Source organism: Homo sapiens, chromosome 7, assembly GCF_000001405.40.
Source record: "Homo sapiens chromosome 7, GRCh38.p14 Primary Assembly".
Lineage (NCBI taxonomy): Eukaryota > Metazoa > Chordata > Mammalia > Primates > Hominidae > Homo > Homo sapiens.
In genome coordinates, this window is record NC_000007.14 from 24,271,456 (window position 1) to 24,298,772 (window position 27,317).

The following is a 27,317-nucleotide window of genomic DNA, read 5'->3' on the forward strand; positions in this document are numbered from 1 at the left end:
ATCACACGCCAAGTCTCATGATCATTTAACTCATTTTTATTGAGCACCTACTAAGAGCCAAGTATCTTCCAAGTATACAAGTATGTTATTCTAAGTATGGGGATTTTAATGGTGAGCAAAACGAAACACGTATCCCTGCTCTCAGGGAGCTTACAATTATGAAATGTTAGACACATCAAACTAAAAATAACACTTTGACTATATACCTAAATAGACAGTTAGAGCTATCTTTAAAGATAAAGTTCTTTAAAGGATCTTTAAAGGTAAATTATAAGATATCGTGGGATCATACAATGAGGTGAGTTGGAGAGGAACCTAATCTAGATTGAGGGATCATGGAGAAATGACATATAGAGTAAATGTGAAGGATAAGTGGGAGTTCGCTGAAAGAGAAAATAGAATGATGAAGAGCCCCGGGCAGGAAGTAGTTTGGCATGCTCAGGAGAAAATAGAATGAGGAAGAGCCCCGGGCAGGAAGTAGTTTGGCACGCTCAGGACCCTCAAATTGTCTATCATGTTTACTTACCTATAGTTTATGTAAAATATTTAAATTCTAAATCAACGTTCTGCATACTTTCTATAAAGAGCCAGAAAGTAAATACTTTAGACGTTGTGAGCCATACAGTGTCTGTTGTAACTTCTCAACTTTGTCATTGCAGCAAGAAAGCAGCCATAAGCAATATGTAAATGAATAGGTGTGGCTGCATTCTCACAAAACGTTATTTACAAAAACAGGTGGTAGGGAGGTGGCCCATAGGTTACAGTTTGCCAATCCCTGTTCTATCAGGCCCTTCTAAAACTCAGTTATAAACTTCAGTTGCATAAAGATATTTATTTTGATCAATACATATTTATTGGAAATCTATTGTCTTAATTCATTTGTGTTGCTATAAAAGAATACAGGGTAATTTATAAAGAAAAGAGGTTTATTTGGCTTATGGTTCTGCAGGCTGTGCAAGAAGCATGGCACTAGCACCTGCTTCTGATGAGAGCCTCAGGCTGCTTCTACTCATGGCAGAAGGTGAAGGGGAGCTGGTGTGTGCAGAAATCGTGTGCCGAGAGAGCAAGCAAGAGAGAGAGGAGGGAGGTAGTAGGCTCTTTTAAACAACCAGCTCTCACAGGAACTAATAAAGCAAGAACTCATCCATTACTACAAGGACAACATAAAGCCATTCATAAGGGTGCTACCCCTATGACCCAAACACTTCCCATTAGGACTCACCTCCAACATTGGGGATCAAATTTCAACATAACATTGGAGGGGTCAAAGAAACCAAACTATAGTATCTATTGAGTGCTGGGAATCATAATAGAGATGCATCGTCCCTTCTATTAAGTTAACATAACAAAATTTATAGATATTAAACAAATACTAATACAATAACTAAAGAATACATGTAAGATTGAACTGTAGGTATATGTAACTAATGAGAAATTTAGGTCCTGTTAGAGCATATAATAGGGAACTAATCCAGGCTGGAAGACCAAGAAAATCCTCCATAGAGAAGTGATATTTCTTTTTTCTTTTTTTTTTTTATATTATACTTTAAGTTCTAGGGTACATGTGTACAACGTGCAGGTTTGTTACATATATATACATGTGCCATGTTGGTTTGCTGCACCCATTAACTCATCATTTACACTAGGTATTTCTCCTAATGCTATCCCTTCCCCAACCCCCCATCCCACGACAGGCCCCGGTGTGTAGTATTCTCCACCCCATATCCAAGTGTTCTCATTGTTCAATTCCCACCTATGAGTGAGAACATGCAGTGTTTGGTTTTCTGTCCTTGCGAAAGTTTGCTCAGAATGATGGTTTCCAGCTTCATCCAAGTCCCTACAAAGGACATGAACTCATCATTTTTATGGCTGTATAGTATTCCATGGTGTATATGTGCCAAATTTTCTTTATCCAGTCTATCATTGATGGACATTTGGGTTGGTTCCAATTCTGCTATTGTGAAGAGTGCCGCAATAAACATATGTGTGCATGTGTCTTTATAGTAGCATGATTTATAATCCTTTGGGTGTATACCCAGTAATGGGATCGCTGGGTCAAATGGTATTTCTGGTTCTAGATCCTTGAGGAATCACCACACTGTCTTCCACAATGGTTGAACTAGTTTACAGTCCCACCAACAGTGTAAAAACGTTTCTATTTCTCCACATCCTCTCCAGCACCTGTTGTTTCCTGACTTTTTAATGATTGCCATTCTAATTGGTGTGAGATGCTATCTCATTGTGGTTTTGATTTGCATTTCTCTGATGACCAGTGATGATGAGCATTTTTTCATGTGTCTTTTGGCTGCATAAATGTCTTCTTTTGAAAAGTGTCTGTTTATATCCTTTGCCCACTTTTTGATGGGGTTGTTTGATTTTTTTCTTGTAAATTTGTTAAGTTCTTTGTAGATTCTGGATATTAGCCCTTTGTCAGATGAGTAGATTGCAAAAATTTTCTCCCATTCTGTAGGTTGCCTATTCACTCTGATGGTAGTTTCTTTTGCTGTGCAGAAGCTCTTTAGTTTAATTACAACCCATTTGTCAATTTTGGCTTTTGTTGCCATTGCTTTTGGTGTTTTAGTCATGGAGTCTTTGCCCATGCCTATGTCCTGAATGGTATTGCCTAGTTATTCTTCTAGGGTTTTTCCGGTTTTTGGTCTAACATTTAAGTCTTTAATCCATCTTGAATTAATTTTTGTATAAGGTGTAAGGAAGGGATCCAGTTTCAGCTTTCTACATATGGCTAGCCAGTTGTCCCAGCACCATTTATTTAAATACAGAATCCTTTCCCCATTTCTTGTTTTTGTCAGGTTTGTCAAAGATCAGATGGTTGTAGATGTGTGGTGTTATTCCTGAGGCCTCTGTTCTGTTCCATTGGTCTATCTCTCTGTTTTGGTACCAGTACCATGCTGTTTTGGTTACTGTAGCCTTGTATAGTTTGAAGTCAGGTAGTGTGATGCCTCCAGCTTTGTTCTTTTTGCTTAGGATTGTCTTGGCAATGTGGGCTCTTTTTTGGTTCCATATGAACTTTAAAGTGGTTTTTCCCAATTCTGTGAAGAAAGTCATTGGTAGTTTGGTGGGGTTGGCATTGAATCTATAAATTATCTTGGGCAGTATGGCCATTTTCACAATATTGATTATTCCTACCCATGAGCATGGAATGTTCTTCCATTTGGTTGTGTCCTCTTTTATTTAGTTGAGCAGTGGTTTGTAGTTCTCCTTGAAGAGGTCCTTCCCATCTCTTGTAAGTGGATTCCTAGGTATTTTATTCTCTTTGTAGCAATTATGAATGGGAGTTCACTCATGATTTGGCTCTCTGTTTGTCTGTTATTGGTGTATAAGAATGCTTGTGATTTTTGCACATTGATTTTGTATCCCAAGACTTTGCTGAAGTTGCTTATCAGCTTAAGGAGATTTTGGGCTGAGACAATGGGTTTTCTAAATATACAATCATGTCATCTGCAAACAGGGACAATTTGACTTCCTCTTTTCCTAATTGAATACCCTTTATTTCTTTCTCTTGCCTGATTGCCCTGGCCAGAACTTCCAACACTATGTTGAATAGAAGTGGTGAGAGAGGGCATCCCTGTCTTGTGCCAGTTTTCAAAGGGAATGCTTCCAGTTTTTACCCATTCAGTATGATACTGGCTGTGGGTTTGTCATAAGTAGCTCTTACTATTTTGAGATACGTTCCATCAATACCTAGTTTATTGAGAGTTTTTAGCATGAAGTCCTGTTGAATTTTGTCAAAGGCCTTTTCTGCATCTATTGAGATAATCATGTGGTTTTTGTCATTGGTTCTGTTTATGTGATGGATAATGTGTATTGATTTGCGTATGTTGAACGAGCCTTGCATCCCAGGGATGAAGCACGCTTGATCATAGTGGATAAGCTTTTTGATGTGCTGCTGGATTCGGTTTGCCAGTATTCTATTGAGGATTTTCTCATTGATGTTCATCAGGGATATTGGTCTAAAATTCTCTTTTTTGTTGTTGTTGTGTCTCTGTCAGGCTTTGGTATCAGGATGATGCTGGCCTCATAAAATGAGTTAGGGAGGAGTCCCTCTTTTTCTATTCATTGGAATAGTTTCAGAAGGAATGGTACCAGCTCCTCTTTGTACCTCTGGTAGAATTTGACTGTGAATCCATCTGGTCCTGGGCTTTTTTTTTCGGTTGGTAAGCTATTAATTACTACCTCCATTTCAGAACTTGTTATTGGTCTATTTAGGGATTTGACTTCTTCCTGGTGTAGCCTTGGGAGGGTGTATGTGTCCAGGAATTTATCCATTTCTTCTAGATTTTCTACTTCATTTGCGTAGAGGTGTTTATAGTATTCTCTGATGGTAGTTTGTATTTCTGTGGGATCAGTGGTGATATCCCCTTTATCAACTTTTATTGTGTCTATTTGATTCTTCTCTTTTTTCTTCTTTATTAATCTTGCTAATGGTCTATCAATTTTGCTGATCTTTTCAAAAAACCAACTGCTGGATTCACTGATTTTTTGAAGAGTTTCTTGTATCTTTATCTCCTTCAGTTCTGCTCTGATCTTAGTTATTTCTTGCCTTCTGCTAGCATTTGAATTTGTTTGCTCTTGCTTCTCTAGTTCTTTTAATTGTGATGTTAGGATGTCGATTTTAGATCTTTCCTGCTTTCTCTTGTGGGCATTTAGTGCTATGAATTTCCCTCTACACACTGCTTTAAATGTGTCCCAGAGATTCTGGTACATTTTGTCTTTGTTCTCATTGGTTTCAAAGAACATCTTTATTTCTGCCTTCATTTCATTATTTACCCAGTAGTCATTCAGGAGCAGGTTGTTTAGTTTCCATGTAGTTGTGTGCTTTTGAGTGAGTTTCTTAATCCTGAGTTCAAATTTGATTGCACTGTGGTCTGAGAGACAGTTTGTTGTAATTTCTGTTCTTTTACATTTGCTGAGGAGTGCTTTACTTCCAACTATGTGGTCAATTTTGGAATAAGTGTGATGTGGTGCTGAGAATAATGTATATTCTGTTGATTTGGGGTGGAGAGTTCTGTAGATGTCTATTAGGTCTGCCTAGTGCAGAGCTGAGTTCAAGTCCTGGATATCCTTGTTAACCTTCTGTCTCATTGATCTAATATTGACAGTGGGGTGTTAAAGTCTCCCATTATTATTGTGTGGGAGTTTAACTCTCTTTGTAGGTCTCTAAGGACTTGCTTTATGAATCTGGGTTCTTATGTATTGGGTGCATATATATTTAGGATAGTTAGCTCTTCTTGTTGAATTGATCCCTTTACCATTATGTAATGCCCTTCTTTGCATCTTTTGATCTTTGTTGGTTTAAAGTCTGTTTTATCAGAGACTAGGATTGCAACCCCTGCTTTTTTCTGCTTTCCATTTTCTTGGTAGGTCTTCCTCCATCCCTTTATTTTGAGCCTATATGTGTCTCTGCATGTGGGATGGGTCTCCTGAATACAGCACACTGATGGGTCTTGACTCTTTTTCCAATTTAGCAGTCTGTGTATTTAATTGGGGCATTTAGCCCATTTACATTTAAGGTTAATATTGTTATGTGTGAATTCGATCCTGTCATTATGATTTCAGCTGGTTATTTTGCCTGTTAGTTGATGCAGTTTCTTCCTAGCATCAGTGGTCTTTACAATCTGTCATGTCTTTGCAGTGGCTGGTACCAGTTTTTCCTTTCCATGTTTAGTGCTTCCTTCAGGAGCTCTTGTAAGGCAGGCCTGCTGGTGACAAAATCTCTTGGCATTTGCTTGTCTGTAAAGGATTTTATTTCTCCTTCACTTATGAAGCTTAGTTTGGCTGGATATGAAATTCTGGGTTGAAAATTCTTTTCTTTAAGAATGTTGAATATTGGCCCCCACTCTCTTCTGGCTTGTAGAGTTTCTGCCGAGAGATCTGCTGTTAGTCTGATGGACTTCCCTTTGTGGGTAACCCAATCTTTCTCTCTGGCTGCCCTTAACATTTTTTCCTTCATTTCAACCTTGGTGAATCTGACAATTATGTGTGTTGGGATTGCTCTTCTCGAGGAGTATCTTTGTGGTGTTCTCTGTATTTCCTGAATTTGAATGTTGGCCTGCCTTGCTAGGTTGGGGAAGTTCTCCTGGATAATATCCTGAAGAGTGTTTTCCAGCTTGGTTCCATCCTCCCCATCACTTTCAGGTACACCAATCAAATGTAGATTTGGTCTTTTGACATAGTCCCATATTTCTTAGAGGCTTTGTTCATTTCTTTTTATTCTGTTTTCTCTAAACTTCTCTTCTTGCTTCATTTCATTAATTTGATCTTCAATCACTGATACCCTTTCTTCCACTTGATCAAATCAGCTACTGAAGCTTGTGCATGCATCACGTAGTTCTCTTGCCATGGTTTTCAGCTTCCTCAGGTCATTTAAGGGCTTCCCTACACTGTTTATTTTAGTTAGCCATTCATCTAATCTGTTTTCAAGGTTTTTAGCTCCCTTGCAATGGGTTCGAACATCCTCCTTTAGCTCAGAGAAGTTTGTTATTACTGACTTTCTGAAGGCTACTTCTGTCAACTTGTCAAAGTCATTCTCTGTCCAGCTTTGTTCCATTGCTGGTGAAGAGCTGCAATCCTTTGGAGGAGAAGGGGCGCACTGGTTTTTAGAATTTTTAGCTTTTCTGCTCCAGTTTCTCCTGATCTTTGTGGTTTTATCTACCTTTGGTCTGTGATGGTGGTGACCTACAGATGGGGTTTTGGTGTGGATGTCCTTTTTGTTGATGTTGATGTTATTCCTTTCTGTTTGTTAGTTTTCCTTCTAACAGTCAGGTCTCTCAGCTGCAGGTCTGTTGGAGTTTGCTGGCAGTCCACTCCAGACCCTGTTTGCCTGGGTATCACCAGTGGAGGCTGCAGAACAGCAAATATTGCTGCCTGATCCTTCCTCTGGAAGCTTCGTCTCAGAGGGGCACCCGGCTGTATGAGTTGTCAGTTGGTCCCTACTGGGAGGTATCTCCAAGTTAGGCTACACAGGGGTCAGGGACCCCCTTGAGGAGGCAGTCTGTCCATTCTCAGAGCTCAAAAACCATGCTGGGAGAACCACTGCTCTCTCCTGAGCTATCAGACAGGTACGTTTAAGTCTGCAGAACTTTCTGCTGCCTTTTGTTCAGCTATGCCCTGCCCCCAGAGGTGGAGTCTACAGAGGCAGGCGGGCTTCATTGGGCTGTGGTGGGCTCCGCTCAGTTCGAACTTCCTGGCAGCTTTGTTTACCTACTCAAGCCTCAGCAATGGCAGATGCCCCTCCCCCAGCCAGGCTTGCCACCTTGTAGTTCGATATCAGACTGCTGTGCTAGCAGTGAGCAAAGCTCTGTGGGCATGGGACCTGCTGAGCCATGTGTGGGATATAATTTCCTGGTGTGCTGTTTGCTAAAACCGTGGGAACAGCACAGTATTTAGGTGGCAGTGTCCCAATTTTCCCGGTACAGTCAGTCATGGCTTCCCTTGGCTAGGAAAGGGAAATCCCCTGACTCCTTGCACTTCCTGGGTGAGGCGATGCCCACCCCTGCTTTGACTTGCCCTCCGTGGGCTGCACTCTTTGTCCGCCCAGTCCCAGTGAGATGAACCAGGTACCTCAGTTGGAAATGCAGAAATCACCCATCTTCTGCGTCGATCAGCTGGGAGGTGCAGACCAGAGCTGTTCCTATTTGGCCTCTTGGAACGGACCTAAAGAACACTCAGAAAATATTTCAAGGTAAACCCAGAAGGTTGTGTAGGTGTTGGCCAGGTAAAGAGTAGGGAGAGAGAATATCTCAGAGAGCAGACACAGCACAATGAAGGCCCAAATAGGAAAGCTGATTGGCATATTTAAGGAGCAGAAAGGAGGACAATGGACAGAAATACAGGGAGTGAAGAAAAAAATTATGTTAGATGAGCCTAGGAGGTATGTAGGGTCCAAAATATGTGGGGCCTTATAGTTCAATGGAAGAATTTTGAAAACATTTTACACTTCATATGATATTTAATTAGACATTCATGTTAGTGGAAGCTCCACTTTGATAATCTAAATTTGAGGCCCTTGATGGAGTTTTTCTGAGCTAGACGTATCGCCCTGGTTTCCAGGTATGAAATCTGAGCTGAAGGGAGAGATTTCAGGATCATAAGCTGTAGGAGTAGATGAGCTTATGTGTGCAGTAGAAAGGTTAAGGCTAAGACTATGGGTACAGAAGGGTGAGTCAGCAAAGGAGATGGTGGTACATTCAGAGAAAAAGGAGGTGAATCAGAGAGACAAGAGAAAGTAATGGTTAAGAGATGTCAAATATCTGATAAAGATCCATGTGGTTTGCAATTAGAAGGTCTTACTGATAGCAGGTTTATAACTTGATTCAGATAGAACCTAGATCACAGTGGTTTCATGACTACACCTATGGTGAATAACCAGAGACAATGAATAGAAACATCTTTTTAAAGAAGCCTTGCTACAAGACTTGCTCTTCTGGCCAAGATGAAGAAACAGGAACTGGATTTACCCTCCCTGCTGAAACAACTAAAACACTAGACAAAAATAGATGAAACAACACTTAAAACATTGGACATCAGTAAAGGACAGTAATATCTTAGAGATAGAAAACAAATGACAAGAGCCATACAATGGTCCCAGATCACTGCCTGATATGGTTTGGCTGTGTCCTCACCCAAATCCCATCTTGAATTGTAGTTTCCTTAATCCCCACGTGTTGTGGGAGGGACCTGGTGTGAGATAATTGAATCATGGGGGCAGTTACCTACATGCTGCTGTTCTCATGATAGTGAGTGAATTCTCACAAGATCTGATGGTTTTATAAAAGGTTTTTTCCCCTTTGCTCGCCACTTCTCTCTCCAGCTGCAATATGAAGAAGGACGTGTTTGCTTCCCCTTCCACCATAATTGTAAGTTTCCTGAGGGCTCTCCAGCCATACAGAACTGTGAGTCAATTAAACCTCTTTCCTTTATAAATTACCCAGTCTTGGATATTTCTTCATAGCAGCATGAGAATACACTGCCTGAAGGAGTCATCCAGGCTACAGTGCAGAAGGAAGGAATTGAATCATCCTGGCCAAGGAGCTGGGGCTGGAAGTGTAGGGAGCCAGGGCAGCTAGTGTCCACAGGAAGATTATCAGGTAAAAGAAAGAATACTCTGAAAGTCTGAAGGGTGTCCCCCTTGAGGATTTAGTTGATTATTGATCAGATTATACACAAGAACAAACCACCTGAGACCAGGAAAAGAACTACACAAAAAGATAAGGGTAAACTGTGTCTGATGCTGACCAAGGGCTGGGAATAGTGTCTATCTGAACAGCCAGAGGGGAGAGCTGTGCAATTTGAGGTGTGCGTGTTGGGGGGAAGTCAGTTACCAGTTAAAGTAAAAAGAAGGAATTTTGCCTCAAAGTGTGGAAAGAGTAAACCTAGTCTAAAACCAGCTCTGGTCCCACCTAACAAAACTCACATCCAAGACCTGAATGGATAAAACTGTCTTTAAATTTTTAATTGTCTCAGAACAAGCTCAAGAACAGTCATAGAAAGACAAAAAAACAAATAACAAGGTAAAATCCACAATATCTGACATCCTATCAAAAATTATCAGGCACACAAAGAAGAAGAAAAATATAAGCCATAATGTGGAGAAAAATCAATCAACCCAAAGTATACAAAAATCACACAGATGTTAGTAGTACAAAAGTTATTATTAATGTATATTCAAGAAGCTAGAGAGAAGAGTGGACACGTTTAGATACGGAAGATATAAAAAAGATTCATTGCTTTATATTGTCCTGTAACTTAAAAAAAAGATTCAAGTTGAAACTCTAGAGATGAAAGCTACCAGGTATAAGGTGCAAAATACACTGGATAGGATTGGCAGTAATCAGATATTACAGAAGAAAACATTAGTGAACTCACAGACATAGCAATAGAGACTATCCAAAATAAAATATGAAGGAAAAAATGAGCAAAACAGAAGCAAAAACAGATCACCAACAAACTGTGGGCCAATATACACTCACCGTCTGACTCAGCCATTCTGGTTTTAAGTATTTTCCAAGAGAATTAAAGGCTTTATGTCCATACAAAGACTTGCATATGAATGTCAAGGCAGCTTTATTCGTAAAAGTTTCAAGTGAAAATAACCAAAAATTCATGAGCAGTAGAATTGATTAAAAATTTTGAAGTATATCATATAATGAAATACTGCCCAGCAATAAAAAAGAATAAACTATTGCTACATTTAACAATGTGAGTGGATTCAAAAATAATGATGCTAAGTGAAAGAAGTCAGACAAAGAGTACCTACCGTGGAACTATATTTATGTGCAATTCTAGAAAACGCAAACAAATCTCTAGTGATAGCAGATCAATGGAGGAGGGGGTGAGGAAGAGGCAAAAGGAAGGAATTACAAAGGTACATGTGGAAATTTGGGGAAGTGATGTATAATCTTCATTTTCTTGGTTTCAGTGATGGCTTCCTGAGCATATAACACACATGCATATGTGTAAGAATATATCCAATTGAATATTTTACACATTTGTAGCTTTGTATATATTCAGCAGTATCTATTCATTCCTTCTGCTTCTTTACCTTAGGTTTAGTCATGAAACCACTGGGTTTCATGTGGTCCAGGTTCTATCTGAATCAAGCTATGAACCTGCTATCAGTAAGACCTCCTAATTGCAAACCACATGGACCTTTACCGGTTATTTGACTTCTCTCGGTCATTACCTTCTCTAGTCTCCACTGATTCACCTCCTTTTGAATCTCAACAAGCTCAACAGTATCTCAATGTTATCTTAACAAAGCTGTTAGAAATAAACAACTTGACTTTGAAACAAAGGAGAGAAATGGCTCAGCAGCTAGGAGAAGATGCAGGGTTGAGTTGCCAACAGTTGGTTTTGTTTGTATTTTGGCCAGGGGATGTGGCTTGGACTGGAGAGAAAGGAGATAAGGATGTAAGCACATGTAGGGCATATCACCCCCTATTTTTTATTCTCTGAATCCTTAACCCTCAGAATAAGTTCTTATTCTTGAGAATCAATGACATTATCTTAAGCTAAATTAATCAAGCCTCCACAGTGTTCTTCTCTCAATAGTGGTGTGGGCCTTCCTAGAAGTAATTTTTCCCAAATTCAGTGATACATTTTAAGTTCAGATTTTAATTGATATGAATCTGTGATACACTCTAAAATAAGATTATTTTATTGAAAAGTGGACTGTAACTTTCCCTTTATCTAGGAAGAGCTCTAAGTTAGAAGATGTTTTGCACTTTTACCGAAGGCTGTGTCTTGTAAGCACCCCCGAGCAACTCTGAGAGCCTTGATTTTTGTGTCCTCAGCATATGTTTGTGTAATACAGAAAGAGAAGCAGTTGCCAAGTGAAAGGGATGTTGGTCTCCAAAATTATAGTTTGATCCCACAAACACACAAACACATACATGCAAAGGATTGTTTGCTTCACGGTTTTTGATATTTAATTCAATGCTGTTGGAACAGCACAAAAACTAAGTGTCAGTTTAACAGAATCACTTGTCCTTTTAGCATTAAAATAACATGGAACTTAATGCTTTAATTTCCCAACATGCCTTTTTATTTAGAAAGATTCAGACTTATATTTCATTTAGAAATAAAATGCCATTTTATTTAGAAAGATACAGGAGCATTCATTCACGGAACTTTCAGATCTCAGTCCACTGCATAAAATCTTGATCCTGTAATAATAGTTTCTGTATCTTGCATATTCATTCAACAGGTTTAACGCGATGAGCAAATTAATGTTCATCGTTTTTAACATGTTTCATCTTAATCAGAACCCACATTCTCAACGTTAATTGAACGTACATAGGACTATACAAGGGTTAGTAAATAAGACAGAAACTGTTGTTCATTTAACCACCGTCACTTTGGACCAAAAAAGAAAAAATATATATTTTTAAAATTGAGCTTAAAAGAGTCTCTAGAAGCTGGAAGCGTGGCTCTTTTTCAGCAAACTGGGGGAATAGGTTTACCGTGTTCCCCCTCTGGGGAATTTTGAGTCGCCACACTCATGTCTCGACCGAGCCTGGCTCGCTGCGTCTGAGCGAGTACTTGAGGAAGGCTGATCTAGAAAAACCAGCTGAGAGAAGGGGCAGAAGCCCCTGAAACCACGGGCGGGGGTGGGGTGGGGAGCGCAGCTTTGGGACCCTCTAGCCGGAGACTTCCGGCAGCTGCCTCCGACTTGTTCTAAGTACAGGAAAAATCTGTGCGCCCAGTTGCCTCACTCCAACAGCGCGCAGTTGTGCCCGGCGAGGATGCCGCGCTAGTCGTGGAGATGCCCCACCACAAAGAGGATTCAGGTGCTTCCTACTCCGGCACCCAGTGGGTTGGTAGTCCTGTTGGCAGGAGACAAGAATCGTCTGGGCTGCTCCTATCTCTGGCAGGACTAGACGGGGCGTGAAGGAAAGAAGGAAAGAAGGAAAGCAGGGATCGGGCACTGCCCGAGGGCAGATACTTGGGCTTTGGTGTTGTCCAGCGCGCTCGGAGTGCGCTGCCTCGCTCACGCGGTCCCAGGCCCCGCTTCTTCAGGCAGTGCCTGGGGCGGGAGGGTTGGGGTGTGGGTGGCTCCCTAAGTCGACACTCGTGCGGCTGCGGTTCCAGCCCCCTCCCCCCGCCACTCAGGGGCGGGAAGTGGCGGGTGGGAGTCACCCAAGCGTGACTGCCCGAGGCCCCTCCTGCCGCGGCGAGGAAGCTCCATAAAAGCCCTGTCGCGACCCGCTCTCTGCACCCCATCCGCTGGCTCTCACCCCTCGGAGACGCTCGCCCGACAGCATAGTACTTGCCGCCCAGCCACGCCCGCGCGCCAGCCACCGTGAGTGCTACGACCCGTCTGTCTAGGGGTGGGAGCGAACGGGGCGCCCGCGAACTTGCTAGAGACGCAGCCTCCCGCTCTGTGGAGCCCTGGGGCCCTGGGATGATCGCGCTCCACTCCCCAGCGGACTATGCCGGCTCCGCGCCCCGACGCGGACCAGCCCTCTTGGCGGCTAAATTCCACTTGTTCCTCTGCTCCCCTCTGATTGTCCACGGCCCTTCTCCCGGGCCCTTCCCGCTGGGCGGTTCTTCTGAGTTACCTTTTAGCAGATATGGAGGGAGAACCCGGGACCGCTATCCCAAGGCAGCTGGCGGTCTCCCTGCGGGTCGCCGCCTTGAGGCCCAGGAAGCGGTGCGCGGTAGGAAGGTTTCCCCGGCAGCGCCATCGAGTGAGGAATCCCTGGAGCTCTAGAGCCCCGCGCCCTGCCACCTCCCTGGATTCTTGGGCTCCAAATCTCTTTGGAGCAATTCTGGCCCAGGGAGCAATTCTCTTTCCCCTTCCCCACCGCAGTCGTCACCCCGAGGTGATCTCTGCTGTCAGCGTTGATCCCCTGAAGCTAGGCAGACCAGAAGTAACAGAGAAGAAACTTTTCTTCCCAGACAAGAGTTTGGGCAAGAAGGGAGAAAAGTGACCCAGCAGGAAGAACTTCCAATTCGGTTTTGAATGCTAAACTGGCGGGGCCCCCACCTTGCACTCTCGCCGCGCGCTTCTTGGTCCCTGAGACTTCGAACGAAGTTGCGCGAAGTTTTCAGGTGGAGCAGAGGGGCAGGTCCCGACCGGACGGCGCCCGGAGCCCGCAAGGTGGTGCTAGCCACTCCTGGGTTCTCTCTGCGGGACTGGGACGAGAGCGGATTGGGGGTCGCGTGTGGTAGCAGGAGGAGGAGCGCGGGGGGCAGAGGAGGGAGGTGCTGCGCGTGGGTGCTCTGAATCCCCAAGCCCGTCCGTTGAGCCTTCTGTGCCTGCAGATGCTAGGTAACAAGCGACTGGGGCTGTCCGGACTGACCCTCGCCCTGTCCCTGCTCGTGTGCCTGGGTGCGCTGGCCGAGGCGTACCCCTCCAAGCCGGACAACCCGGGCGAGGACGCACCAGCGGAGGACATGGCCAGATACTACTCGGCGCTGCGACACTACATCAACCTCATCACCAGGCAGAGGTGGGTGGGACCGCGGGACCGATTCCGGGAGCGCCAGTGCCTGCACACCAGGAGATCCTGGGGATGTTAGGGAAAGGGATTGTTTCTTTTCCTTCGCTCTATCCCAGGGCAGGACAGTATCAGGCACTTAGTCAGCTCTAGGTAAATGTTTGTACAGGGCACACTCTACACAAAATGGGTACCTTCCATTTTGTGCAACTACAGTCACAGAGTCGTGATCCCCAGATTCAGGTTCCCCAGGCTGGTAGGCTGGCAATCTCCTCTCACTCACCTCTTATGGTTTGTTGTGGTTCTTACGGCAGTGGGGCCCGGTCCAGAAATCTCGAAAGTACCCAGTGAAAGGGGCAAGAATGCGCCAGAGAAATGCTGTAGGGGGAAACGCTAGCAAGGTGTCTAGGAGAAACAGAACGACCACCAAAGAAAACCAAACCAAGGAGTAAACTGCAGGGTTGCCACAGACATTGTCAGACTTTCCGGCCTGCCCAGGGCTAATTGAATGACAGTATTTAGAAAAAGACAAATAGAGCTATTTTCTTTTCTTCTTCACTGTGTTTTTTTTGCAGTCTCACTCCCATATTTGAAAATTCTAGTCCCAATAATTAGAGATTTAGCCTGAAAACAGTTTATCTAAAATGCAGAGGTCTCCCTATTTTATAGCTGGTGAATTCTGAAAAGAAAGTGCCCACTTGGTATTTCATTAAGAAGAAACTTACGTTGGTCCAGTAACTTTAGGATGAATTCAGGGATTACATGGAATCTGAGAAATTGTAAACTTTATTCTGAACATTCCGAAAGTCAAAATGAAATGCCATATTTTCACTCTCAACATTGACAATTAAGGGAAAAATCAAATCCAAACTATTTTACAAATTACATAGGATTTAAATTTTGTTTTCAAAATTGGTTGATCTTAGTTCTAAATCATTTAATATCTTATTTTAATTACTGAGATTAAATGATTTTAGTCATTTGACCGTATCTAAAGGATAAGCCCTTTAGAAGCATTAATGTTAGTTAACATGTTTAAATTATATGTTTAAAGTATTGTGGGGTTTATATATTTATTTATTTAGTCCATATTTTTACTGTTTACAAGTCAGGGAGTAGTTGGAAAGGATCCAAAAGGGGGGAAGATTTATACTTTTAAAATAAAGTTTGCTTTTTCCTGTTTCATCAAAAAGGTATTTAACATCCTAAAACACTTTTGAAAAAGCCCCAATTTATATAGAATCTGAAAAACATGAAAATGCCAGAATTAAATAGTAGTTGTTTGTGATCCCTTGAAATCTGATCATTTTAATTAGCAAAAAGCAATAATATTTTATATTCCATACTTCCCAGAAAGTTAATTGATTCAAATTCTTGCTATGTTATGCCGTCATGCAGATCAAAGAGAACTTGTACAAACAAAAAGATATTAACTGTTTTTTCTAGAAAAACCTTTGTTAGTTATTTAGCTGTAGCATAATACACAGTAGAACTCATTTTTCCGAAGATGATTGCCATAAAGCTTTACCATTTTACAAAGCTCTAGCATTTTAAAATGTTTTCCTAGGCATTCTCTCATTCAGTCGTTACCTCAAAGCTTTGAAGGGAGTATAATTATCTTCATTTCACAAATCATGAAGCTAATGACATTTCATGGAAGCTATTTTTATAGGAATTATGGAATTGGAGCCCTCCTTTGAGTGTCTTTGGATGTTGTCACCACCATCAACAGGCAGTGTTATCTCCAACATGTTTGATGAGAAAAAAACATAAAGGAAAGGGACTTGGGTTTCATGGCAAGAGATTCAGCTTAGATGGGAATGAGCTGGTCTCTGAGGCAGAGTTTCCTGTCTCATCTTTGTATAAACTCCTTCTTAGAAACCAGCAGAGGCTCTTAATGTACGTCCATCTTCTCCTTCCCACCACAGACACCCACTCCTATGTGCGTTTCTGAAAATTACAGGGTCATTTGTGGATGTGCTTTAATTTAGTATAGATATAATCTGATATCATTATCTTTCTTTCCCCCCGCCCCCCGCCACCAGCATTCCCCCTGCACTCAATTTGTGCTTATATTCCTTTTGCTGTATATATACCCCTGGCTCATTGCTTCTGGAAGCTGCATTACTTATTCTAGAGTGTGGGTCTCCTACAATTTATTTATATAGCCCCCTAAATCAGTGGTTCTCAACTGGGGGTGATTTTATGCTCCCCAGGTGTGATTTGGCAGTGTCTGGAGACATTTTTGGTTTTCACAACTGGAGGTGGGCACTGCTGGTACCTAGGTGTATAGATGCCAAGGAGGCTGCTAAATATCCTACCATGCCCAGGACAGCCCCCATTACACAGAATAGCCAGTCCCAGAGAAACTCAGCCTTAGATTAGTGTTTCTCCTTCCTGGCTGCACATTAAAATTATCAGGGGAGCTTTTAAAATACACTGATGCTGGGATCCACCCCTGACCAATTAAATCAGACCCTCTGGGATGGGGCCTGGGCTTTAGAGTGTGTTTTTAACACTCCCCAGGTGATTCTAATGTGCAGCCAGGTTTGAGAATCTTTACTCTAAGGACTCAATCTTTGAAAGTTACAGCATTGTAGAGGGGAAGGATGATCCAGAATTAATTAAAGAAGGAAGAAGAGTGAACAGTACTGAACTGGATGCAAGATTATGACTGTGCAAATCCTCCTATTTCAGATTTAGGTTCTTTACTGGTAAATTGGATAAAAAGTTGGCAGTTCTTTTACTCACTGGAGCATGATGAAGATAAATGAGTTACAGTTGCCCTAGACTTTTACGATTAGTAAAACCAATGGATGGACAGAATAAATAAGTATAAGCAGACACCTATAGTCTAATATCGCAACTCCAGAAAATCTTTGAGAAAATCTCACACATGATGGGAGTGGGACAGGGAGTTGTTTTGTTTTTGCTTCCCTTGAGTCTCAGCAAAAGAACAGTCATAGAAAATATTTCCAAAAAATTTAGATATAATTTTGCTTGGCAATTAGAATATACCCTCTGTCAGCTTTGTTCAGTTGTTGGACCTATTAACCAATCCATACCAGACTAATTTATTTCTAAACAAAGTGGCGAATGGTGTCCAATGCCTTTTCTGAGAAAGAGAAAAATGGCCTCTTCAAAAGACGCAATTTGGTATAGACTTGTCTGGCCGTTTTGTAGTGTTCTGGAGTGGGGAGCATATACTACCCTCACAGGTAAACGAAACCTTACCTGTATGTATTGTCTCACCCATATCCTGCTACAGGAGAAAAAAAAAAAAAAAAAAAAAAGAACATTTCCATGGATCAGTTAGATTCCTTTAGACTTACAGGGAGGCTAAAATCACAGCATTAGGAAAGACTTTAGCATTTGGCACCTTGAATGAATATGGAAAATATAAGACCCAGGGTCTGTTGGTAGCCAGAAGAATGGATGCATTTCAACAGCAGTAATTTGCATGCGTGTATCACTTTGTCACTTTGAAAGCATTGTGACTCACATTTCACACTGGATGTTCACAAAGACTCTGATTTAAGCAGGGGTTGTTTTACAAACGAGAAAATTGGGATTCAAAGACACAGGTGGGTCTTGGACGGCAATCTGCTGATTTTTTTTTTCTAGGACTGTCTTTGAAATATCATCTGGTCTCCTTGTTAAGATTTAAACTGCTGTGTATCATCAGAACAATAGCCAATTAACTAATTGTGGAAACATTTACAATCATGCTTCCATGTTTTCAAATTTCCTGTCACCTAGTTATAAAAGTATGTATCTCTATACATATTATTTGTGGTTGTTTAAGAAGGCAGGAATTTGACTAGGAATTTTGGTTCGGTTTAAATAACCTCCTAGATTATTTATTATTTGAGCAAAGTTTAAATATATATACAAATAATTTGAAATAATATTTATGATAATGTTTCGATAATATATGCTTCATACACCTAGCTTGCTTGTTACAGATGAACACCTGACAATAATGTTTAGTTTTCATATCCCAAATAGGAGACTATCTTCCTTTTTCCTAAAGGTTTTTATGCCTATTCCAAACTTGCTTTAAAAGACTTTTTTTTTTCCAGATATGGAAAACGATCCAGCCCAGAGACACTGATTTCAGACCTCTTGATGAGAGAAAGCACAGAAAATGTTCCCAGAACTCGGTATGACAAGGCTTGTGATGGGGACATTGTTGCAGAGCTCAAGGTGCCCAGGGGAGGGAAGTCAGAGACAGGTGCCTGGTGGGAGGCACCACCAGGCTTCTAGACTAGGGGAGATTTCGGCAGAAATGAGGATGAAGAAGCAGGCAGAGGAGACCTCTCTTTTCATGTACTCATTGTCAAATCTCTAAACTTCTGTGGAATAACATTTTTTTAGCTCAGGTTATTTGGTGCTCCTTTGACGATTTTAAAAATAATTGACTTTTAACTTAGAAATTATATAGAATTTCTAACATTGTTGGAGTCAGGGGAGCATAGAGTGAGTCCCTGACTCTAAATTGAAATGACCAACTGTCCATCTCTGGCTGGGAAGATCTGTAGATTTTATATATGTGGAGTGTCCAGATGTCCTAGGAAATGTCCCATGTGGTTTTTACTCCAACTTTCCCAGTTTTACATGAAGCTGTAGGTAAATTAGGTGCTCTGGATTACTTTTTGACATATTTTAATTCAACTTGTGTCATATAGTGATTTATTACATTCAACGAATGCACGTTGAATGACAGTATTCTTAGGAGTTTATCTGTAGTCTCAGGACTTTCTTGCAGTTTGGGTCTGTCTTGGAAAGAGGTGCCCACCAATGTCTAAGTGTTAAACATTGAGCTAAGGTTTTCTGGTGCCTCCTGGACAAGGAGTGCTGCTGAAGAGGAGCCTGGTCCTCTTCCATCTTCATAACCTCCTGACTCTTCAGTCCTTGCTTCCTGTCTCTAACCACAGTAAGATCATAGTTCACAGGGTCCACCCACGTCTGTGGCAGCTTGGCTGCCTTAAACCAAGTTCTACAATGTCAAGAACCAAGTTCCCCAGAAGAGGTCACTACAACACTTGCTCAGTGAGTGTGACTGACGTGGCTCTCCATCAAGTTCTCCCTAGAGACTCAGCAGGGTGACCCGCTGGGCCACCCACCTTCCCTTCTAACCTCCCTCAGTTCTCTTCTAAAATGGCCAGCCAGCATGAAGGGTGTTAGTATAGAGTTGTGAGATTTGTTTTCTCTAAAGGGAACAACGATTTGAACTGAGATAAAACTCCAGTGCTCCTGTCCCTGGAGGAACCAGCCCAGACTTAAATAGCAAATGCAAGGGAAACAGGCAGAAAATTTGTAAGGGTTATCTTTTTTTAATTAAATAATAATAATAATAATTATTATTATTATTCAGAGACAAGGTCTCCTTCTGTCACTCAGGCCAGAGCACAGTGGTGCAATCAAAGATCACTGCAGCCTCGAGCTCCCAGCCTCAAGAGATCCTCCCTCCTCAGCCTGCCCAAGTGCTAGGATTACAGTTGTGAGCCATAATGCCTGGCCAGGGTTGTCTTTAACACTAAGCAGTAAATGTCTTTCCATGTTTCACTGACATGCATATGATGTTTGCCACAGTAAAAAGTTTAGGGTAGACTATATCGACTTACTGTTAGAAAAATAACAACGCAGACCTACTTAGAACCTTGGTTTTTGTCTTTGTTTTGTGGCCCAAGGTCACACAGTTAGTGCATGAAGTAAAATTAATTGCAACCTGATTGACAGACTCCATCAGGTGCAGTTAGAAGGAGACAAAACTTGACGGTCTTGAAGTTGCCTATGAGTGCTATTTTATTATAAAGGTCTTATTATAGTCTAATAAGTAGCATCTTACTACATAATAAAGCTGGCAGGAAAAGGAAGCATATTTAGAGTTGAGGAACAATAACTTTCCTGTCACAGCTTCATGTGATTTCTGTAATTTTGATTTTCAAAAGATCGGGGTGTTCTTCGGCTCCTTTGATACATACAGAGCCTTTCAAATGCTCTCTCTGATGTTTGCCCAAGACGCCTGTCAACATCGTGGAATGCTGCTCAGCTGGGGCTGTGCATATTGTGCCTCCGCCTCACGATCTGATATTCCACATGGCTTCTTATTTAGAATGCCAACAGGAAACTTTTCAACAGTTCCCGGTCATCTTTCACTTCAGATCTAAATGTCTCACCCTTGCTCATACCTCAGGAAGTTGGGCAGCTTTCCTTACATGCTTTGCTTCTTATGTTTTACAGGCTTGAAGACCCTGCAATGTGGTGATGGGAAATGAGACTTGCTCTCTGGCCTTTTCCTATTTTCAGCCCATATTTCATCGTGTAAAACGAGAATCCACCCATCCTACCAATGCATGCAGCCACTGTGCTGAATTCTGCAATGTTTTCCTTTGTCATCATTGTATATATGTGTGTTTAAATAAAGTATCATGCATTCAAAAGTGTATCCTCCTCAATGAAAAATCTATTACAATAGTGAGGATTATTTTCGTTAAACTTATTATTAACAATTAGTCATTATAGTCTCCCTCAACTAGCAGATTCAGGGTTCGTTTCGCTAATATTAAAACAGCGGCTATGAAAGATATGAAGATATGATTATTCATGATAACCAAGATCAGCTGTGTGGTGTGTGTGTATGTGTGTAAAACATATAGATGCATTTGAAGATATTGATCAAAGGAATGCTAATTTGGGAAATTTTTCTGAGCTTTCCCCCCATTAACATTGGAACCCTTTTGCTAACCTTGTTAACCAGTGCTGTCAGCAGAAGAACTTCCTGACTAACTAGAGCTTTCTGTGGAATGTCCTTTATCCCTCTGTCTAATATGGCAGCCACTAGCCACATGTGGTTTTTGAGCCCCTGAATGTAGTAAGTGCAAATAAAGAGATGAGTTTTAAATTTTATTTAATTTTAATGAATTTTAACTTAAATGGCCATTAAGTCTCTAGTGGCTACCATATCAGACCGTTGAGGTCTATACATCTATTTTGGTCACTACTGTTAGAATTTGAGTGAGAAATACAATGAGTGGGATGATTATCTTTTCATACAACATGGGGCATGTTAATTAATTTAGCTGAAATTTATTAAACTTCCTCCTTCAAGTACCTACTTGCATGGGCTTACTTTAGAATGAATGTTATTATATTTTTACATGTCATTTCTAAATCAAAGAAAATGAGTCTCATCCCATACTGGTACTTCATACCACACTGTAAAAAATATGTATAAATATGTTTATATGACATCTTAAAACTTTACCAAAAAATGCATGAATAGCAATATTCATCATGACCTAGGGAATCTTGTAGAATATACAATATTCTCTGCATATAAAAAATTATAACTTTTTTTCAGGCAATGGAGTCAGTGTTGCTGCAAAATGTAATTTCCTTTAATGAAACTAAGATAAAATTGTTCCGCAATTTCCCTAAAATTTCCTTTATTTTTATTTCTTTATTCTTGGAACTAAATACCAATATGTAAAGCATTTTTAAAATCTAAAAAGTTAAGTAAGTCATAATTTATTACACATCAAAGTTATTAACCTAGTATATCTGGGAATTTTCTTTATTAAAATTAGTAATACACAAAGAAAGTTGACTGAAAAATCCATCTTTCAGCACAAATAAGCTGAGTACTCATCACCACGCATATAGTCATATACCACTTCACAACATTTTGGTCAATGATGGCCCACACGTATAGCAGTGGTCCCATAAGATTATGATACTGAATGTTTACTGTACCTTTTCTATGTTTAGATACAAAAATACTTACCATTATGTCACAATTGCCTATAGTATTCAGTACAGTCACTTGCTGTATAGGTTTGTAACCTAGGAGCAATAGGCCATATCATATAGCCTAGGAGTATAGAAAGCCATACCCATCCAGGTTTGTGTAAGTACATTCATTCTATGATGTTTGCCCAACAACAAGATCACCTAACAATGCATTTCTAAGAAAGTACCCCTATTGATAATTGATGCATGACTGTAGAACTCTTGATTACATGGAGAAGAGCAAACAGGAATAATGTATATTACCCCTTCAGAGAGAATCCAGGAATTCAATTTTAAACAAAAATTTTAATCTCTTACCTCATCAAACCTAAATGCCTAGAAAACTTAGCATTAAACAACCGCCTTTTACTTATACTCAACCCAGGCCTTGATCCCTCTGCTTCTTCACCTCATCTTATTGGAAGGAGGACTTAACCTTCACACCGTGTGGGCCCCATGAACCTGACTCAGTGACTTTCAAGCTCTCTGACCTTCAAATTCACTACATGGCTGGGTTCTCATCCATGAGATGGGGATAATTATTCCTGCCTAAATTTCCATGTATACCTTTATGGGAATCAAAATTCAGGTTAAGATAACGTTACAAGTAATAGAAAAGAAGTGGGTAAAAATGAAGTTTTTGATGACTCCTGTGTTGAATTCTAAATCCCTAATGAACCAGAATTAGCTTTCAGAAATAAAAAGATAGCAAACTTTTAAAAAACTGCAAAACTGCATTTCAGGAGATTCTCTATAGTAATATTTCTCAAACATTTTCAGGTTTAGAATGGGAATAGGTTTGAAATACGTTTAAATAGGTTATAGAATAGGTTTAAAGGCACTGGATCACTCAGCTGTCATTGCAAACAATAATGATAATGCTTACTAGAGTTATAGTAAGAACAATCTAGCCTTCATTAATGAGATCCCTATGAGCAACATAATCATTATCAAGTAAATCCATCAGCACTTATTAAGGTCTCCTCTCACCCTAGCTCTAGTCCATCATCTATGAGGTATAATGTGTGCATAAATTTTGCAGGTGTCATGTTTTTATTTTGATTCCTGCAATACCCAAGACATACTCAAGCAGATGAATACTCCCCCAATTTTCACAGAAAGGCCTATAGGAAGTAAGTGACTTATCCTACCTCATTCAAGTTAGTGGGACAAGACAGCAGCTCCTCTTTACTTGAAAACTTTGCCCTGCTTGACAATGTCTTCCAGCAGTGAATGCAAATGGAGATCAGGTTGTGTATGATCTAGTTAAGAGCATAACTCTGGTGTACCACACTGAAAACAAATTAGAGAGTAACGAAGTACTAAACAAATTGTGTGAGAACTATTGAGAAAAGGAAATTAGTGTGGGCCGACTAGTTGAAAAATGCTTACCAGAGAATGTGGATTGACCTGAGAATAGGAGGTTTTGGGTCTGGGCTAAAAACTGTGTGGATTAGCACAGCTTGTGAAGGGAACCTTCAGAGCTCTACTTGACAGGAACAGAGAGAGAGTAGCAGAGGCTAGATTGATGAACTAGGTCTAAGAATGGCCAAACTCATTCATTCACTTAACATATTTTCATCACCTAATATGTATTGGTACTAAGCACTGAGGATACAATTGTGCTAAGCAGTGAGGATACAAAGATTAGTTTCTCAGGGAATTTACTATCTAATGAGGGAGGCAAATAATTACAGTACATTGTTGGAAGTGCAGAGATGTGTCAGAGGTCTAAGAAGTAGTTAGGTGCTAGAACCTTCCCACTCATCATGCTTCCCTTTGCAGTTTCCTAACAAGGGAGCCGTACATATAAGAGTCAGTTGCCAACTAGGAAACAGAGCCAGGTGAACAAGCATCCAATGAGGCCCAAATGTAGGGCTGCCTGGTAAGCTGAATCAGGGTGCCTGGCTGCCGCCCAAGCCTCCAGAGCACCCCGTTTCCAAACCAAATCTCAGCAGCCTAGTGAAGAGTGACAGGAAAAGTAAGGTTTCTGGGGAAGATTCCCAAATTCACTTACACAAATAGCCACATAGATCAGAAGGGCCAGCCTGTCACTTCTAGCAGCAGATGGAAAAAGAGAAACGCCACTTGTGACTGCTCATTACCTTTCAGTTGTGTCCCTGCCTGTTAAGACAATGTGGCCTAATGAATCAGTCAGAATAGCAACTGTCTCCCATGCAGAGGGAGACAGGAAAAGAGAAAGAACAGAGGCCAGAGGTCTCATGGGTTAAGGCTAAAATGTGGACATCCTATAGACCATTCAAATTCAATATGTTGGCTGGGCACGGTGGCTCACAGCTGTAATCCCAGCACTTTAGGAGGCCAAGGCAGGCGGATCATCTGAGATCAGGAGTTTGAGACCAGCCTGGCCAACATGGTGAAACCCCATCTCCACTAAAAATACAAAAATTACCTGGGTATGGTGGCACATGCCTGTAGTCCCAGGTACTTGGGAGGCTGAGACAGGAGAATCACTTGAACCCGGGAGGTGAAGGTTGCAGTGAGCCAAGATCGTGCCATTGCACTCCAGCCTGGGCAACAGAGTGAGATCCTGTCTCAAAAAAAAAGTTCAGTATGTCCAAAATTGGTATTTCCTATTTCAGGGGTAGCAATATCTCCTTCCTTAACAAGAAGTGGGCCGTGCTTTTACTGGGATAGTGAAGGTCACTCACCCCAGGCTGAGGAGAGTGCAGGAGTAGGACAGACTTCCTAGGGCAGCTGACTGATGCTTGAGCTGAGGTTTGAAGGATGAGCAGCAATTGCCAAATGAAGAATGCCAGATAGGAGGTAGAGAACATGCAGATATGACACAGTAATGCATATTTTGATTACTTTTTAATTATTTGTGATTCCCATACTTTGAATTTGATAGTGGCAGGCCTGGACAACTGGGTTATGTTCTAAGGCGAAAACCTCATTTAGAACAAAATCAAGTCTAGTCTCACAGTCATCTCAAACTCTTTTCTCCCAGGCATTCCTTATTTTTTATTTATTTTTTTTAAAAACATCCCATCTGCTCTTCCTACAGACTTGACTCCAGGGCATACTGAGGCCTCTCTACCAATATTTTTCCTTCAGCCAAATTAGGATTAGACTTCTCAGACTGAGATCTCTTAACCATAATCTTACGGACAAATTAACAAATTCAGAGAATAAATGTTGTAGGGTGGTTCCACACCCAGGGTCAGGAAGGCAAGGATTCGCTATTTCTTTGGAATATTTTATCTTGCATCCTCTTTCCCCTGCCTAGACAAGGGTCAGAACAGAAAAACAGATTTAAAGAGAAGGAAAAAACAGCACCGGCTTGGAGTTTGCACACCATCGTGTGATGCTTCCCATTAGGTGAAGTAAAGATGGTGGATGCGGCCGGGAGCGGTGGCTCCCGCCTGTAATCCCAGCACTTTGGGAGGCCGAGGCGGGCGGATCATGAGGTCAGGAGATCGAGACCATCCTGGCTAACACGGTGAAACCCCCGTCTCTACTAAAAATACAAAAAATTAGCCGGGCGTGGTGGCGGGCACCTGTGGTCCCAGCTACTAGGGAGGCTGAGGCAGGAGAATGGCGTGAACCCGGGAGGTGGAGCTTGCAGTGAGCCAAGATCGCACCACCGCACTCCAGCCTGGGCGACAGAGAAAGACTATGTCTTCAAAAAAAAAAAAAAAAAGAAAAGAAAAAAAAAGATGGCGGATGCAAGTGCTCAATATTATTAGATGGGTGCAAAAGTAACTGTGGTTTTTGACATTGAAAGTAATAGCAAAACCAATTTCTTTTCACCAACTTAGCACACCCATGTGCAGGTCCCACATGTGCTACTGATGACAGGAAGGTAAACATGATGATGGCAGTTAATTATCTCCTCTCTTTCTAATGCACAAACATTATGCTTATATGGTTACATATTAATATGTATACAATAGAAAATTGTTCTTTTCTCCTCCATGCAGAACATTGGAATCATTTACAATGTCATCAGAACTAAACAAATACCTTTTCTATCATCATAAAGGAAAACAACCTTTTGAATGAGGTGTTTCAGTGGGATATTCTTTTATCATGGTTCTGGGTAGGAGGAATGTAATATTGTCACAATAAAATTATTGCCTTTTCTTCTGCCTATTAGAAAAATCAGCACAGTGTGAAATCACACAGGATCTTTTTCTCTTTTTAAAATCAGAATGGAATAACATATAATTAATCATATGTGTCATACGGGCTCATTTTTTTTAATGTGCTAAGTAATAGCTATCAATTTAAACTCATTCTGATGCTGCAGTATTCAAATGCTGTGCAATTATGGGAAGGGTGGTATGGATATGTTGATACTGCCCTTGTTGCCTGACGCACAGGATTCTCCACGAGAGCTAGTTCAGTCTGAAGTTGATTGTAAATACTGAGAATGATCCCAGAGGAGCCAGAACAAGTGCAATGTTTGTTGAACAGCCTCACAAAGGTTTTTTGTGGTTCTTTCAGGAGGTACAGGTAGCATTTATGCAGGGTCTTGACAAAAATATGAAAGTTTATTTAACCATAGCTTTGTGGATCTCTGAAAGTTACTGGTTGAATACACAGTTCGTTTCTGTCATCTTGGAAGTTTGATTTACCTGGCATTACCTTTAATATCAAGTTCTTAAAAAATCTTTTTTTTTTCCAAAGAGTCTTGAATATTGAAGTACCAAAATTCTGTGAAATGCTTTTTGGGTCACTGATGATTTTTTCCTGGCTTTGAATTTAGTGAAGATTTTGGAGTTTTCACCAATTGTTACCACTTATATTGCATACTAATGTATTGGCTCTATTTAGGGGGTATATTTTACAACTCTTTATGTCCTTGGGTAAATTATTTTGATATTTAAACATAAAGAATTTGTTTTTTTTCAAACTGTTTTATCTATAAGACATGGATTCCTTTGATTCCCAATTTATTCCTAATTTCAGAATTCTTTGCTTTTTCAGAATTTAATTGAATTTTAAACTGATTTGTTCGGTGTATTTATCTGAAATTTGACTTCACTCATTAGTTTGGCTGCTTTACTATGGTATTATGAAGCAATTTAAGTTGAAATGAGAATCTTTCTATAGAATATAAAAGTCACATTTTACCCTTTCTTCTCACTAAATAACACCTTACTATTTGGGAATTATCTGTTAGAGAGAATAACATCATTCAAATAAGTTTTCAATTAAAGCTTGCCTAGAATAATTTGAATTTTATTTATTCTAATACCTGTATCTTTTCTATCACTGCCAAGTCTTCTCGAACCAGAACGGCCTACTGAATTAACTGGTCTGTGAAATTTAATGCAAGAATAAGCAATGTTGGCAGAACATATTTAATATAGTCACTCTTTCTAACAGGCTGGATTATTGATCAGGTTAAAATGGAACCAGCTGATCTCTAATGGGTTTCTAGAGTCCCAAGGATGTTATCAATTTCTGAAATATTCATTGAATAGTCTCCCTGTGACTGGTACTCTGCTAGGTTCTAGGGGTGATATAAAATGAGTGAGACAGTTTCCCTGCTCTTAAAGACCTAACAATTTATAAAGGAGATAGACACATGCT

The 27,317-nt window shown here is 40.8% G+C and overlaps 1 protein-coding gene and 1 long non-coding RNA gene across 15 annotated transcripts in view, besides 1 other annotated feature; one reads left to right on the forward strand and one right to left on the reverse strand.

Moving 5' to 3' along the window:
- LOC107986777 (uncharacterized) overlaps positions 1–27,317 on the reverse strand; it is a 303,857-nt gene that overhangs the window by 130,174 nt on the left and 146,366 nt on the right. The gene's annotated exons all lie outside the window — the stretch shown is intronic.
- Positions 6,670–7,869: an enhancer, noted in NCBI's record as "BRD4-independent group 4 enhancer chr7:24317744-24318943 (GRCh37/hg19 assembly coordinates)". NCBI's record gives its function as "activates an origin of replication core promoter dependent on BRD2, P300/CBP, MED14 and CDK7 cofactors, and independent of BRD4, by STARR-seq in HCT116 cells {active_cell/tissue: HCT116}" and the evidence as "EXISTENCE:reporter gene assay evidence [ECO:0000049][PMID:35650434]".
- NPY (neuropeptide Y) lies at positions 12,735–20,407 on the forward strand. Its single transcript, NM_000905.4, has 4 exons — positions 12,735–12,820; positions 13,786–13,973; positions 18,044–18,124; positions 20,208–20,407. Exons 2-4 carry the CDS (start codon positions 13,786–13,788, stop codon positions 20,230–20,232), a joined length of 294 nt encoding a protein of 97 aa, NP_000896.1. The 5' UTR covers positions 12,735–12,820; the 3' UTR covers positions 20,233–20,407.